Source organism: Homo sapiens, chromosome 7 (assembly GCF_000001405.40).
Source record: "Homo sapiens chromosome 7, GRCh38.p14 Primary Assembly".
NCBI lineage: Eukaryota > Metazoa > Chordata > Mammalia > Primates > Hominidae > Homo > Homo sapiens.
The window spans coordinates 13315395-13330738 of NC_000007.14; the positions used below are offsets into that span (position 1 = coordinate 13315395).

The window sequence follows — 15344 nt, forward strand, 5'->3', positions numbered from 1 at the left end:
GCCAAACTTTAATATGCTTGGTGCTCGTTGATACTTATTAAAGAAGAGTGCTGAAACCTACTGTTAGAAAACTAATAATTTACTCAGAAAAACAAGTGAAAACTACAGAAATTGCAAAGAAAATCCAAGGGACGTAACACATTGACTAAGAGTGAATGAGAGAAATAGAAGAAATCTTCAGTGAGGCAGAATTTCAATAGGAAAACCAATGAAATATTTACATTAAAAAGATACACTATATCTATGACATTTTGTGAAATTCAGACTTATTAAGTACACATAAACGTATATTTGCTTAGGTTCATAATGAGCTTCTCTGATACACAGTATTTTATTAAAAACGTTAATTCTGACGATAGATGTTTACTCCAAACACTAGTTGAAGAGTTTCCAAATTACCCTTTCCTGTTGTAGATTAGAATGTATCATAATCTGAACATTGCCTCATATATATAAATAAGCAGATATACTCTAAATCAGCAGTCCCCAACCTTTTTGGCACCAGGGACCGGTTTTATGGAAGACAAGTTTTCCATCGGCTGGGTTTGGGGGGGTGCTTTCAGGATGATTCAAGCATATTACATTTACTGTGCACATTATTTTTATTATCATTACATTAGAATATATAATAAAATAATTATACAACTCACTGTAATGTAGAATCAGTGGGAGCCGTGAGCTTGTTTTCCTGCAACTAGATGGTCCCATGTGGGGGTGATGGGAGACAATGACACATCATCCGGCATTAGATGCTCATAAGTAGCATGCAACCTCGATTCCTCACATGTGCAGTTCACAATAAGATTCATGCTTCTGTGAAAATCTAATGCCATCACTGATCTGACAGGAGGCAGAACTCAGGTGGTAATGTGAACAATGGGGAGCTGCTGTAAATACAGATGAAGCTTTGCTTGCTTGCCCTCTGCTTAGTTCCTGCTGTGCGGCCTGGTTCCTAAGAGGCCATGGACTGATACCAGTGTATGGCTGGGGGGTTAGGGACCCCTGCTCTAAATAAAAGTATCCATTTATGTGTTTGTACATTATTTTTTTTCTTAAAAGAGCTTCTAAGTTTCACAACGTACTGTCACCTTGGTTCCTGACTATGAGTAGAATTAAAATGTTCCCAGGATCTACTAAAAATGAGGAAGAAATAATTTTTGCACACCTTAGAGATAATGAATCAGTAAGATAACCAGATTCTTAATTTCAATTCAATATATCAGAACATCCTTCTTGATTTTTATTTAGTCTGAAATGTAATTTCACTCTTGGTTATTTGAGAAGTTAATGTTTCTCATCTTAAGGAAACCATATAATAAGCCTTCCCATTCTCTCCCAGTCTTAATGCCACACTGACCTATGTAATTTCAGGTAACAGACAAGCTGTCAAAAGGAATATATTTGCCAAAAATCACAGATTCAGTTTTTAAATGTAGCAAATGCCAAATATAGTTTCCAACTTTGTCAAGTTTTATGAAATTATTATACCCCATTTAACATTTTCTTATGCTTTTAAAAAATGAAATAATTCCTTGACCATGATTACACCAAATCTGACTTATGAACATGAATCAACATGATGTCATAAAGTACTGAGGACTCAAAAGTAGAATGACATAGTATAGGTGTAACATTAGCACTACCTGTTTCAGCTTTCAATATATTATTCCTCTTAACATTTTCCTTTAAGATGAACACATGTTGATTTCAAAAATTAAATGAAAATTCTTATTGACGCTTTGATGTTTATTATGTAGTCCACTGTAGATTTTCAGAATAATGAAACTGGATTCACCCTTGATGGAATGAATCCACCAAACTTATTGTGATTAATTTCTGTCTCAAGAAAATAGAGTGCTGATCATAAATCAAGTTACATCTTAATGAAGTAAACAGAGGAAGGGAGGCAGTTAGATTCAGGTGTTTGATTTGAGCAAAATGGCATTCTAGTTTACTAAACAGAAATGAAGGATGACTTCAAATCTTCCAGAGAAAGATTGCTTACATAAAGATTCAAACTCTACACAACAATATTTGGTTCTGAGGCAAGTGGATGCTTTGAACACTAATACACATAAGCTCCCCTAGGCAGGTTAATTTGTTAAGATGTCTATAGATGTCAAAAGTATGTTTGTAATACCAGGTCTTTCATAATAAATCTTCAAGAGAAGGTCATAAAAGGCATTTAGAAGATATTGTCAGATACAGAAAACCAATTTTACATAAACATCTAATTCTAATAATGTCCTCCAAAAGAGGCTCCAGAAAACTGCTTTTAAAATTCTAGTACTTTGGAAATGTTCTACATTCAATGGTATTGCAAACTACACGGAGGAGAAATCATATCTTTAATTAAATTGATAGACCAGTCATGAAAATTTGGCTTTATAAGGAGGGGACAAGATGTATAAGAATTCAATGAAACAAAATTAATTACATCAGCAACACATAAAATATAGTATCTAGTCTTTTACAAACCAAATCATATTAATATATATGAAGTTTCTCTTAAAAATATACTAGGTGCAGTGATGGGAACACACTGTCACAGCTGCTAAATAATTTTTGATGGCAATCATTCAGATATTAATTTCCATATCTCCAAATTACTATATACTCTAACATACGGTAGGATTAGTAAATATTTATATTAATAGGATGAATTAGTAAACTACTTACTAAAAAAGTTAAAGTATTTTTATCACTCATAGATTAAAAATCCTTCAATAATAATAAGACAAAGTTATTACTAGAGATTCGTACAAATTTTTATAGAATTATATTCATTCATTTATTCACTAATTCAGAGAAAAGTTATTTAACATCTACCATGTGCTAAATTTTGCAGAATTTGTGTGGAAATAAATTATATTTTCCTCTTAAAGGCCTTGGGTTAGCCTATTTAGGCTCATAGTTTACGTCAAACCTGGATTATTTTTATATTTCTTGAGGACAAAATTATTTGTGAGATCTATTTTTAGATTTTCTTCTGATTCCAGTTAATTATTTTGCTAAAGTCATCCTATATTCTGTGTACTAATGATGAGTGATTATGAAAAGTTCAGGTACATCAAATAAATGATAATATCTTAAAGGGATAGAAGCCACGAATGTGCTACATATAGCCATAGGGGAAGTGCTTTAAAATAACAGCAGACTCATAATAAATTTGCCAGGGTTTCCATCACATAATTCCATAGAATAGTCCTTAGCTACAGATTAACATTTAATTCAACACAATTTAATTAAATAAAGAAATATTTTTGTATCTCATGTCTCTCCTTTGTACAGAACCCTCTTCTATATACTGTATGTCACATCTTGCAAAGTCCTTAATGTTGAGCAGTTAAGAAAAACTAACATTATTTGAAAACAAAACTATTATCAAGAACTGTTCTAGATATGTTACCCTTATTATCTCTGAAACCCCACCATAGTCACGAAAGATGAATGCTTTCATCCCTGATTTACAGATGACAATTACTGTTCACTCATTGAGACTCAAATCTAGACTGACTCCAATATCCACCTTCCCAAACCTCATGGAAGCACAAGAATCCTATATAGAACAAACATAATATTTAAAAATCAAATAATAGCAAGAGAAACAAAACATGAGGCAGCATTTTAACAAATAATAAAATGAGTAGTAATTACTGCTATGGAAGAAATCAGTAAAAATTGGTGTGGTCAAGAGACTTCAAGGAAAAATTAATGGAGAAGTATTTAGATTACAGATCGGGATTGGAAATCCGTAAAGTCTAAGCAGGCATGATAATAAGCGTGGATTGTTTGGGATATTGCAAGAGGCTAACTTTTGAGAGTTCAAAAAATGTTGTCGATAGATTTCGTGGACAACTTGAGTGACAGAGCATGGAATTCAGAGTTATTCTTACAGCTAAAGGAAGTTGATTAAGGGTTGTTAAACAAACAACTAAGAGAGTGCTGGCAGCTAATGAGACACTGTTATTTAAAATCATGAAAACTGAGACAGGCAGACCAGTTAGAAGACAACTGCAATACTTCAGGCATGGGTTTGTGAGGGCAGGTTGAGCACACAAAAAAAATTTTAAAAAGAGAAAAATGTCTGTGAAAGGATCAATTGTACTTGGGACTGGGAGTTGGGTGGGAGGAGTATGATATGGTTCAAGATCTGTTCATCTAATGTGGTTATCAGTCCGAAATCTTCCAAAAGGATATTAAATGCTTTTTTTTTTTCACTAATCGGCTATGACATCCTGCCAGGTATTCCCTAGCTAGACAGGAAATCTGCCAAAATTCCTGTCTACTGAAGAAGCATCCATAAATTTGTCCCAGGTGTTGGTGGAGTATGATGGGGAGGGTGTAGAAGTGCATAAAATGTTACCTAGAAATGATCTTTGTGGTTTTAATTTGATAGGAAGCCTTCCTTTGACTGGAAATGGAGTATAATAGATAGAGGTGAACTTCAGCTAAATGCTAGCTGAATGAATGTCCATCAGGGATGCTAAAATATTGTCTAGAATCTATGCCTATATACAGATTCTATTGCTTGAAAGGATGGGAGCAAAGACAAATGTGATTAAATTTCCCCCTCCTTTGCTATGATGATTATTCAGATATTCGGTGTGATTGATGTTGAAGTTAGGAAGATATGCTACTGGGAACTTGATGCACCACTTGTTTGGGTCATCCCTAGGGATGCAGTTATGTTTTCCCTTTTTTCTAATGATGCCATAATGTTCTTATGTGCTTCTGCCTCTGATTTTACGTTCTTGCTCTTTCTCCCCATGCATACACACACACACACACACACACACACAAATAACATACACCATGGAAGACATTATCATATCTAAGAAGGAGATGGTGGAGGTCTTATGTAGCCCATCATGCAGCCTCCACAAGTTATACTAGAACCAGGTGGCTGATGACAATCATTACTCATCATAAGGGCTGGACTAGGGTTCTTTGAGGCCTGACTGCAAGTTAATCAACCTCCTTGCATGTTGAGGTTGGAAATATTTAACTAGTTCTGAAAATTGGTGTTATTCAGTGGAGAATGGCTCCACCCCATGTCATCTACACTTTTGCCTCTCAAAGTGTGATCCATGGACAAGCTGCTTAACATCCTCACATCAAAACTTGTGGAAATCAGAGCCTCAGGCCCCACCCCAGAACTACTACATCAGAATCTACATTTGACATGATCTCTGGTGATTCATGTGCATATTAAAAACAGAGAAATATTCTTTCAGTTACTTTGATCATCACTTTTCATCTTACATATTCAACCAGTTCTGGGTGATATAATTCTAATCCCTAATATAGCTTGCTTCTCACTCACTCAGGACACTTCTTGAGGCAATGTAGACACTTGTATGACAGATGTTATAGCACCATTGCTTGTGGTAAATCCATACTCTCAAGTAAAATGTATTAGCTGCCTTTCTTCACCCCTTAAAAGGTAACCCAAATCACCATGACAAGAAAGAAAACTAGGCACACATGGTATAAGATGTTCAAAAGATTTTACTCGCAAATCCAGATCTTCAACATAGTACATTATCATGGCTATACGGGCAGAAATTTATTTGTCATAACTGCTATTTTTAGTGAAGTCCACCTATGCATTGCTTCAGAAATGTGTCTCAAAGGTGAGACACTTAATCTAAAAATATGTATAAAATATATATTCTTATGGGGCTAGGTGGATATTGATTCTGACCAAATTAAGCCTCTCAACTACTGTGGGAAAAATACTTAAACATTGCTTGTGACATCACATTAACAATGAATAATTCAGCTGAATTCAGTGTAAGAAAGATGTTTAATTTGAAGCTTTTGCCACATGAAATAAAAATATGTGTTAAGAAACTTACTTTCGAGTAGCAAACATCAAACATTATCTTTATCCCTGAATCAAAAACTAGTGGAATTAGAAGAAAATGCATAAGATATTGAACTATATCAAATATTTCATTATACATATCTATTACACATATTTTCCCTGTATAAGCTGTTAAAATGCTTGAGTTTTACATCAAATTGCATGATGAATCAGTGTATAAAGAAATATGTAGGTCACAGAATGACCAACTGTAGAACAAGATTCCAAATTGTAATACCTCACATTTCAAAACCGGCTGCTGATAATTTGACTAGTTTATATTTCTTTGGCATCAGCAGCAGTTCTGCTAAGGCAAAGTAAATGTCATAAAATGTTTTGTTTTCCAGCAGCCATAGGCAAATAATTGGCATCTGTTTTCTGTTGTCTAGCTGCAGTCGTGATTTCTGAAACAGAAGCTTCCATTCCTCATCTAATAACTTGTTGATTTGGGACCCTCAAGGGACCAAAAAACAAATCAAAAAAAAAAAAAAGGAAAAAGGAAACTTGTTTGAGGGAAGAAAAAATCAAACCCTGAAAACATTTGGGTTTCATAGTGCATTCCATCATAGAATGTTTGGACTCATCTGTGTCTCCAAAAATAAATAGGAACAGGAAATAAGTAGCTCTTCTTGTTAAACCTGAAACAATGAAGTTTCTATATTGCAAAGTTTAAAAGAGACAAAAGGTCCTCTTAAAATAATTTCGTTCGAATTCACCTTCAAATACTTCTTGACAAGAACAAAATGTGTTAGTTGTTATAAGAAAAGGAAGAGAGCTAAAGCCTCCAGAGTGGAGAAATTGGGTTTGCCTTGAATTTCAACATTTTTAAAAGCTCAGTTAAGTGGGGGATGTGATTATTTGTAGAGCAGGAAAGGCACTTACAAATGCAACTGTAGGAGGCTCTCTCTTTTTAATGTTTAAGAGCAGATAAAACGCCACTTTCACTGACTTCAGGCGTTCTTCTGGCTCAGGACTAGGCCATTAATAGTCATTAACACTCTTTCAAATGTATTGCCAGAGTGGTAATGAAATCAACACCTTCTCATTTTTATACTGAAGCTCTGCCAAAGAGCATTTGGTCTTGTCACTACATATCGATGTGCTGTGCGATGTGCTTGCTACTTAAGATATCAACATAAACACTGAATAAAAACATAAATCTTTTATGATGTTGGGGCATGTTGCCATTATATTGTAAATCAATGTAGATCAATTATTCAAACCTAGCCCATTGTTTAACGGATGGAGGGCAGACAAGCCAGTTGCAGTGTAAACTGGGTCTATTTTCCTATTCAGAGTTGAACATCAATTTAGGTTTTTCAAACAAATCATTAGCTGAAAAGCTATCCTTAGAAATTTGATTCCATGCCATGTTCCCACCATTTGTCATTTAGGGAAATGTCTCAAAGAATCAGTTAATATGATGAGTACCTTTTTTTTTTCCCATAAAAGAAGACCTAATCTAATCTTAAGTGTTGATGGTCTACAAGTTTTAGTTTAAATTAGATGCACAGGTTTAGCAGTTGCTGCTCCACCTCACCTTCCTTTATAATTATTCAAGATGAATAATTTATGCTGAATTTGGTAATATAGGATACTATTTCTGCAAAGGGAAGGACAGACTGACAGACGATAGAAAGGAAAGAAAGGAGGGAGGGAGGGAGAGAAGAGGAAAGGAAAGAAAGAAAGAAGCCTTCCTTTTAACCTACTTTATTTAGAATTTCATTTTCTTTCCTTTTCTTCCTGATTTTCCTTCATTATTGGAACATATTTGTAGGTTGGAAAAATACGTTCCCTTCCTAAGTCCCCCAAAGCTATAACATGGAAAAAAGAAACAAGTTAGTAAGGGGAGTGAAGACATCTGTGTTCACCCCTTTCCAGCACAGACCACAACTGCTTACTCCATAACCAAGTTGTGGTAAACCTGCCCTACTTAATCTTATTCCTTTCTGGCCTCTTCTTCCTTTGAGCCCTATCATGAGAGAACCATCCACCTCCTTTCAGCCACAAATGTCTAGGAGGTTCCATGTATTTGTGTTGTCCTCAGAAGTATTTTTTATATCTAAACTCTATATGTTTTCAAAACCTAATTATTATAATTTACGAGGGCATCATGCTTTCTCACAGAGGGTCTAAGTATATAATAGAAGAGATTGAGGGGCATGAAATAAACTTTTCTAGCCTAATCTATGATTTATTTTAGCTATTACCAATGGCTTCAAGAGAATTGCTCACTCATTTTATGGGCTAGTAAGATTGAGAAACTCTATGTACTCGTTCTGTTTTGCTTTAGCACAAGAACATAACATATGTATTCTGTTGTTCCTGAGTCCCAAGCAGTACAATAGATACTAGATCAACAGGGAAGAGGCCTTGTCCTGTGGAATTCATGGTTCTAGAGGAACAAAGAAAATGCTTACATAAGCAATAGACTATAATATATTTTGAAATTAAGTGATGTGACATGCGGTATGATTAAAGTACTATAGGAGCAGTAAGAGGTAAAAGGCCTCATTTGGCCAAATGCCATCTACCTATTTTTCTACTGTAGCTATCCAAATACATGCTTATATTGGCAGAGAGAATGCAGATGGAGAGCAGTCAGCTTTAGAGTGGGAAGAAAACTGGTGAATTGGAGACTTAGAGCCAGCATTTTGAGGAATGTCATTTGAGAAAAGCATAGCCTTCCATGCAGAGAATCTGAGGGAGATCCTGAATCACGTGCTGTACTTTGAAAATGTACACAAAGACTCTGCTCCATGAAGCCAGCAACCAAGCCAAGGGGATGTTAAAACCAAGAATTCAAAGAAAGATGATTTTAAGAGTTGCCAGCAACTATTCACTCCAGACAGACTGGAGATGGATGTCAAAAAGCACCCCCTATCTTTACCTCATGGAAAGCCTGCAGTCACTACCATGTGTTGTATATCTTTAGGATTTATCAACTTTGAAACCATGAGTGATTAAATATTAAATATGATATTTCAGGATCTATGCTAAGATGAACTAATTTCCAGATGGATTGCATAAATGACCATAAAATTAATTGGTTAATTAATTTTACTTAAAATTAATTATATAAAATTAATTATATAAGCTCTTAAAATATTATTGACAATATTTGAAGATCTCATATAAAGGTCTGTCCATTTAAACGTTTTCAAAGTCTGTGTCCTCTGGCCATAGATAATATTTGTAAAATCTCTTATACAATTGCCATTTTCATATGAAGAGCTCACATTTTCAGAAACGCTTAGCTTCTCATACTAAAATGTCTTTCATCTTTACTCTGAAAGAAAAATCCCCCCCCCCGAATTTTTCCTTGTTCTGTATAGAAGTGATACACAATGTTTTGCTTTGATTATTAGAGAAGAAAATGGTAATATTTAAAAATAACCTAATTACCGTTAGAGCCTTGCTCGGACACAAAAATTATAAGGGATATGCAGGCAGAAATAATATAATTTACTATATTATGAAATTTTTGTTTCCCTGTTAAATAAAATATATTTGACCTAATGAGCCCTCTTACAGACATTTCTCCTGACTCCTCTTACCTTTGATTTCAAGTATGCACACTCTACCTTGGAGTTCTTCCTTTTCTTGAGCTGCCTAAGTGAACAAATTTCAAAGAAGAGAAGAGTCCTCCAGGGTAATCTTAGAGGATATCTACTTAAGTATGAAAAAGAGAATACGGAAACTCTAAGATGTTTCCTGTAATTATTAATAAATAACTGAAAACTCAAGGATTGGCATAAAGACGCTCCTCGAGTCATAATATTATTGCATGAATATTGGGTATATTGTATAATGAAATGTATATTAAACAGTGTCTGTGGTGAGAAAGCATGTGTATATAACCACTCTGAGTTTTGTATATGTCTGTTTTTCTACAACATTACTTTCTGGGTACATATTAAAATTTGTCAGCAAAAACTGTATTTTAATTTCACAAGCATATTTGCCTTACAGCTTGTCATATTAAAGGGGGTCGTTACAGTGAAAACATTCATTTTTTTTAGAATACACTTAGGTACATTTAGAAAAGACATTTGGGTTTTTAATAATTCCCTGTGAAAGATGTTAAATATTAAGACCTACCTAAACACAGCAATCATGTATCAGAAGCTGATAGTATATTTAAATATAATCAAAATACAAAATAGCTATTTTTCTAAAAAATGTGACTACCAAATTATCCGAGCACAATTTTCTGGGAGGCTCTCTACCCTCATTTTATAGTTAGGAGCATTAAGTGCCAAGAAAGACTGTAGGACTCCCGTGGCCACATAGCCAGTTAATGGGGGGGCGGCAGTAAAACATGGTTTAATGGTTTTCTTTCTACAGCTACCCATCTCTAAATAAATGCTGAGGCTACCAGAAACTACTCATTTCAACATTTATCTTGTATATTAACATACTTAGGCATTTTACAATTTCCATGCAAAATTATTTTTAATAGTATTATAAGCAAAAAAACCCCAGGAAAACTAGGCTGAGGATATTATATAATTTATTAAGAAAATGTATACATCGTGTAAACTAATTAAATATATTAGAATTTTTATACAATATCTGTTGAGTTTTAGGAGTCAATCTAACTTTGAAAATTTCAAGTCTTCTATATGAACTTCTTGGAGCTGATTTTAGTTTTGGTGTCATTATTTCTCATAAAATCCAAGCAGATATGTAATCCTGATAAGTCTGAATAAATTTGAAAGTATAATGGTAATTATGCATGCCATAGAAAAATTAGGGATCTATATCAAATTTTGGTTCCAGAAATAAAAGAATATTTTATGACTAATGCCAGTATTTCTAAGAGAGGGTCTGAGAATTCCACATTTAAAATAGGGTCAGAGACTTTATCAAAATTAGAAAGAAAAGAAAGCTGCTTTTCAATAGTCCTGTTTAAGAAAATGGAAAAGTAACACAGCAACTGGAAAAAAAAATTTGTAATACATATATCTGACAAGACTTAACTAGGATATATAAAGAACTACTACAATGACAACAACAATAAACAGCTCAATAAAAAATAATCAGAGGACTTGAAGAAAAGGTATAGGAATGACCAATAAGCATATCAGAAATGCTCAGTAATATTAGTCAGTATACCAGGGAAATGCAAATTAAAACACAATGCCAAAAAATGCAAATAAAAACCACTGAGCTTATTTTCTCAAAAAGCTAAAACACACCAAAAAAAAAAGACACTATGAAGTGTTGGTGAGGATGTAGAGAAACTGGAACTCTTATAAGTTTCTGCTGGGAACATAATATAGTACAATCACTTTGAAACAAAGGTTTGAGATTTTCTTACATAGTGAAACATAAACCTACCATATGACTCACAAATTTCACTCTTTGGTTTTTACTTAAGATAAATGTTAACATATGTTCACACCAAATACACAGAAATTCACAGTAACTTTATTTGTAATAGTTCCAACTGGGAACAACCTATATGTCTCTCAATGGGTGAATGGATAAATAATGGAATGCCAAATAGTAATAAAAAGAAAAACTACTCTTATGAAGAACATCATAGATGAATCTTAAAAATACTATGTTACATGAAAGAGTACATGCACAGAGTATATGCAAAGAATAGTACAAAAACATACATACTCTATGGTTTAATTTAGATAAGTTTCTAGAACAAATTAAACTGTATGCTAGAAACTAGAACTGTGATTACCTAGAGCTGAAAATAGGAGTGGGGTCACGAGAAAGAGGCACAAGAAAACTTCTTGGGTTGGTAGAAACATTCTATACCTTAACAAGGGTAAATCCATTTATCAAAACTCATTAATCTGTGCACTTATAATCCCAGTATGTAAATTAAACCTCAATGTACTTCCCCCAAAAAAGGAACAGAAATACAATGTAAGAAAAAAAGGTAAAGTCAAAGGAACATTTTGAATATTTTTTTCTGTATGTGTTGATTAGGTTTTAGTAATGGCAAACGCACACTTTTGAAATCGTGACTTCTGTAACTTGTTTGTTGATATTGATATGTAAAATCAAATAGCATTTTTGACACCTAAAAGAGTAATTACAACTTTAATACAGATTTTAAGGTTGTGCTATGATTTATATGGATGTTAGATTTTTTATCTCCTACCTTCTACTTTTGTTTTTTATGTCTTCTCATTCTGCAGGAATTATATGAAATAAGAATGCTGAGGAAAACTAAATGACAATTTTTTTCTTCCCATTTAATGCCCTCATCTCTTCCTGTGATGTTAAGTACAAAGTATTTGATCATATTCCAGAATAAGATACATGCATTCCTTTCAACAGGGTACACATTTACTGAGGCAAATAAGCTAATAGCAAATTATAACCTCATAAGTGATGTGCTCACATTAAATAAAAGATGCTTTGTTGACGGAATGAATTATAAAGCTGATGTCAGAAATTGTAGAGTCACCTGCAAAGCCATGTTGACTAGTAAGGGCTTTATTCTGAGATCGTTGGCAGACTGTTGATGGGTTGTAATTAGAATTTAAGATGATTTAGTGTGTATTTAGAAATATCTCTGCTGTCAACTTGTTAAGAATGAATTGACTGAATCACTACTGCAAGCCAACAATGTGGTGTCCTGGGCAGTTCTCCAGGCATAGATAACAATGGCATGTAGCTATGGTAGTGATAGATAGAGTAGGGAAAAAGAAAAAATAAATGATAAATAGTTTGGATGTGACTTGTGTATATCTGAAATACTTCATCTGGAAAACAAGGATTCTGATACTATGATAAAGGTGTCTTGGGAATGGGCTAACCAAGTATTACTCTATAGACTTAGTTTCTGAGAAAGTACATTCTACCCTTATTGATCTCATCCTCTTTAAAAAAAAATTTAGTGTTAATAGAAATTTACATACCAAATTTCAGGGATTCGAACTTTTTTATAGGAGCAATACATTCCCCAAACATGAGTGTTTTAGCTTAAGATTTTTATAGTCAATGATCCAATTTCACATTTTTATTTAATACTAAACTCAAAGCCTTGGTGGTTGCTTCTCTTAAGTTTTATGGGAAAAAAGCATGAATCATTGGAAATATTGCCTCCAAAAAAAGTAAAGTTCTGTTGCTTTACTGTACAAGAAAGACTTTTTAATGCAGTTTTCTCAGTATTTCTGGAAAACATCTCTTTAAATGCAGTTGTAATTTTACCTAAATGTTATGTTCTAGAAGTCCCACTATATTTTACAGTTTTGAGTATTTCTTTTAAATGTGGTATTTCAGCTTTTTATTTTACTTCAATATTGTATTTTAATTTTTCCACATATTTTCAAGATCTATGAATCTGGGGATTTATAATTTGTTCTTGAATAATAACTTAGGAAGGTTGCATACTTCTTATAACTCTAGAAATATTGTAAACTAAATAGAAATGGAGGGATATGATGCTTAGGATTTTTTTTTCTTTTGGTAGGAAATTCAATGTTTTGTTTTAATTATTTCTTCACTAGATTCAAACCTGATTTATAAATAATATGTTTGACTCTCAAAGGGTCCCCTAATTATCTTTTTCTCAGTATTTTAACCTAAACAACTCCTCTGTACCAGTACTTTAAAACTCAGATAAAATACTTACTGTTTTATAGAATATTTTTCAAATTTGCATACCAATTATTTTTTATTATGTATAATTCATTTGTGTCTCATAAAATAAACTTATTTATTTACCTATTATTTTATTTGCTAATTCAACACACTGCTGGAGCATCTACTATTTGTGAGGCACTGCAATAGGCACTAGCTACATACTGCTGAGTAAAGTAGTGCTTTTGCTTCCAGGCAGCTTATGCTCTTATCTATCACATTTTACTAGAATTCTTTCCTTCTGTTAACAAATATTTATTGAGCGACTTCTATGCACTAGGCTGTTTTGGCACTTTGAATACTTACTGGAAAAAACATGAATATTTTGCCATCACAGGGCTCACATTCTAGCAGAAGGAGACAGTCAATAAACAATAAACAGAATAACACTATAAATTATACTGTGCTACATGGTGATAAGTTCTATGGAATAAAGAAAATGTAGAACAGGTTAGGAGGACTTGAGTGTACCTGGTGATTGGGCAGGAAGAGAGGGCAGGATACTGTATTAAAGTGTAATCAGTGTGCTGGGATAACATTTGAACAGATACTTGAAAGATGTAAGAGAATTGGGAAGTAAATATCTGAGGAAGATCATCCCAGGCAGGGGGAATTACCAGTGCAAAAGTCCTAATAAAGGAACATGTGGCATGTTAAGAGTTACAGCAAGGAAATCATATGCCTGGAAAACAGTAAGCAAGAAAAAGAGCCTGCCAGCAATGTAAAAAACTTATAGGTAAATATGTAACTGCTTCTCCTCTAGAATATTCTAGAAAATTCTAGAATATATCAGGATGACTTGATAGCTGTTATCTCTATGCCTCATGTTCAGCAAAAGTTCTGTCTTACATTGTGTTCTGTGTTCTGTTTTCTCCTTTGTCCTAAATAGATGTGCATAACTAATCTCTTTAAAAATAATATATTTGAATGAATTTCCAAATTTTCTCTGGTCCATAATAAAGTGAGGATATAAAGTCAGCATTCCAATAGTGTATACCTCCTGGGTAAATCAGAGAAAATCAGTAAGAAGGAAATTAAATCCGTATGATTAACTTTTAGTGTTGCTCTAAGGGCAAAATAGATGTTGAGCCTTAGGCTGATCCTGCTGTTTTTGGTGTTTTTTATTTGTTTGTTTGTTTGTTTGATTTTTCCCAGTTCCATGGATCTGTAGAGAGGCTTGCAAAGGACCAGCAGCTTTCAATTAGTTATAAAACAAGGCAGATAATTGCTTTTTAAGACCAATGTCTTTAGATCCTTGCTTTTAGCCTAAGCCAACAGAAAACAGATACAAAAGATATGATCTGGAAACCTAAGTAACTTACTTCTTTTGTTGTGCTTGAGAGAAAATTTAAACTATTTGTGAGAATAAAATAATAATTGTAGACTTGATATTTCTAAAAAACAAAAAGAAAACCAAAACAACAACAACAACAACAAATAACAGGGTCTTGCTCTGTTCCCTGTGCCGTAATGCCATGGTGAGATCTTGGCTCACTGCAACCTCTGTATCCTGGACACACTTATATCTCATACATATACATACACACACACACACACACACACACACACACACACACACACTTACATATATACTTATCTCTCTCTCTCTCTACATATATATGTATATATATCTACATATATATATATCTACATATATATGTATATATATCTACATATATATATATCTACATATATATGTATATATATCTACATATATATATATCTACATATATATGTATATATATCTACATATATATATATCTCTACATAAATATATGTAGAGAGAGAGAGAGTGAGAGAGAGAGAGCGAGAGAGAGATAAAGATAAGAGAGAGATGGGGTCTAGCTATGTTCCTCAGGCT

The 15344-nt window shown here is 33.5% G+C and overlaps 1 long non-coding RNA gene across 1 annotated transcript in view, besides 1 other annotated feature; it reads left to right on the forward strand.

The window, feature by feature from the left end:
- Positions 1–15344, forward strand: part of LOC107986770 (uncharacterized) — a 407223-nt gene that overhangs the window by 20159 nt on the left and 371720 nt on the right. The window lies entirely within an intron of this gene.
- Positions 6569–7273: an enhancer, noted in NCBI's record as "OCT4-NANOG hESC enhancer chr7:13361588-13362292 (GRCh37/hg19 assembly coordinates)". NCBI's record gives its function as "activates a minimal SCP1, AML or CMV promoter by ChIP-STARR-seq in primed H9 embryonic stem cells {active_cell/tissue: H9 hESC(primed)}" and the evidence as "EXISTENCE:reporter gene assay evidence [ECO:0000049][PMID:30033119]".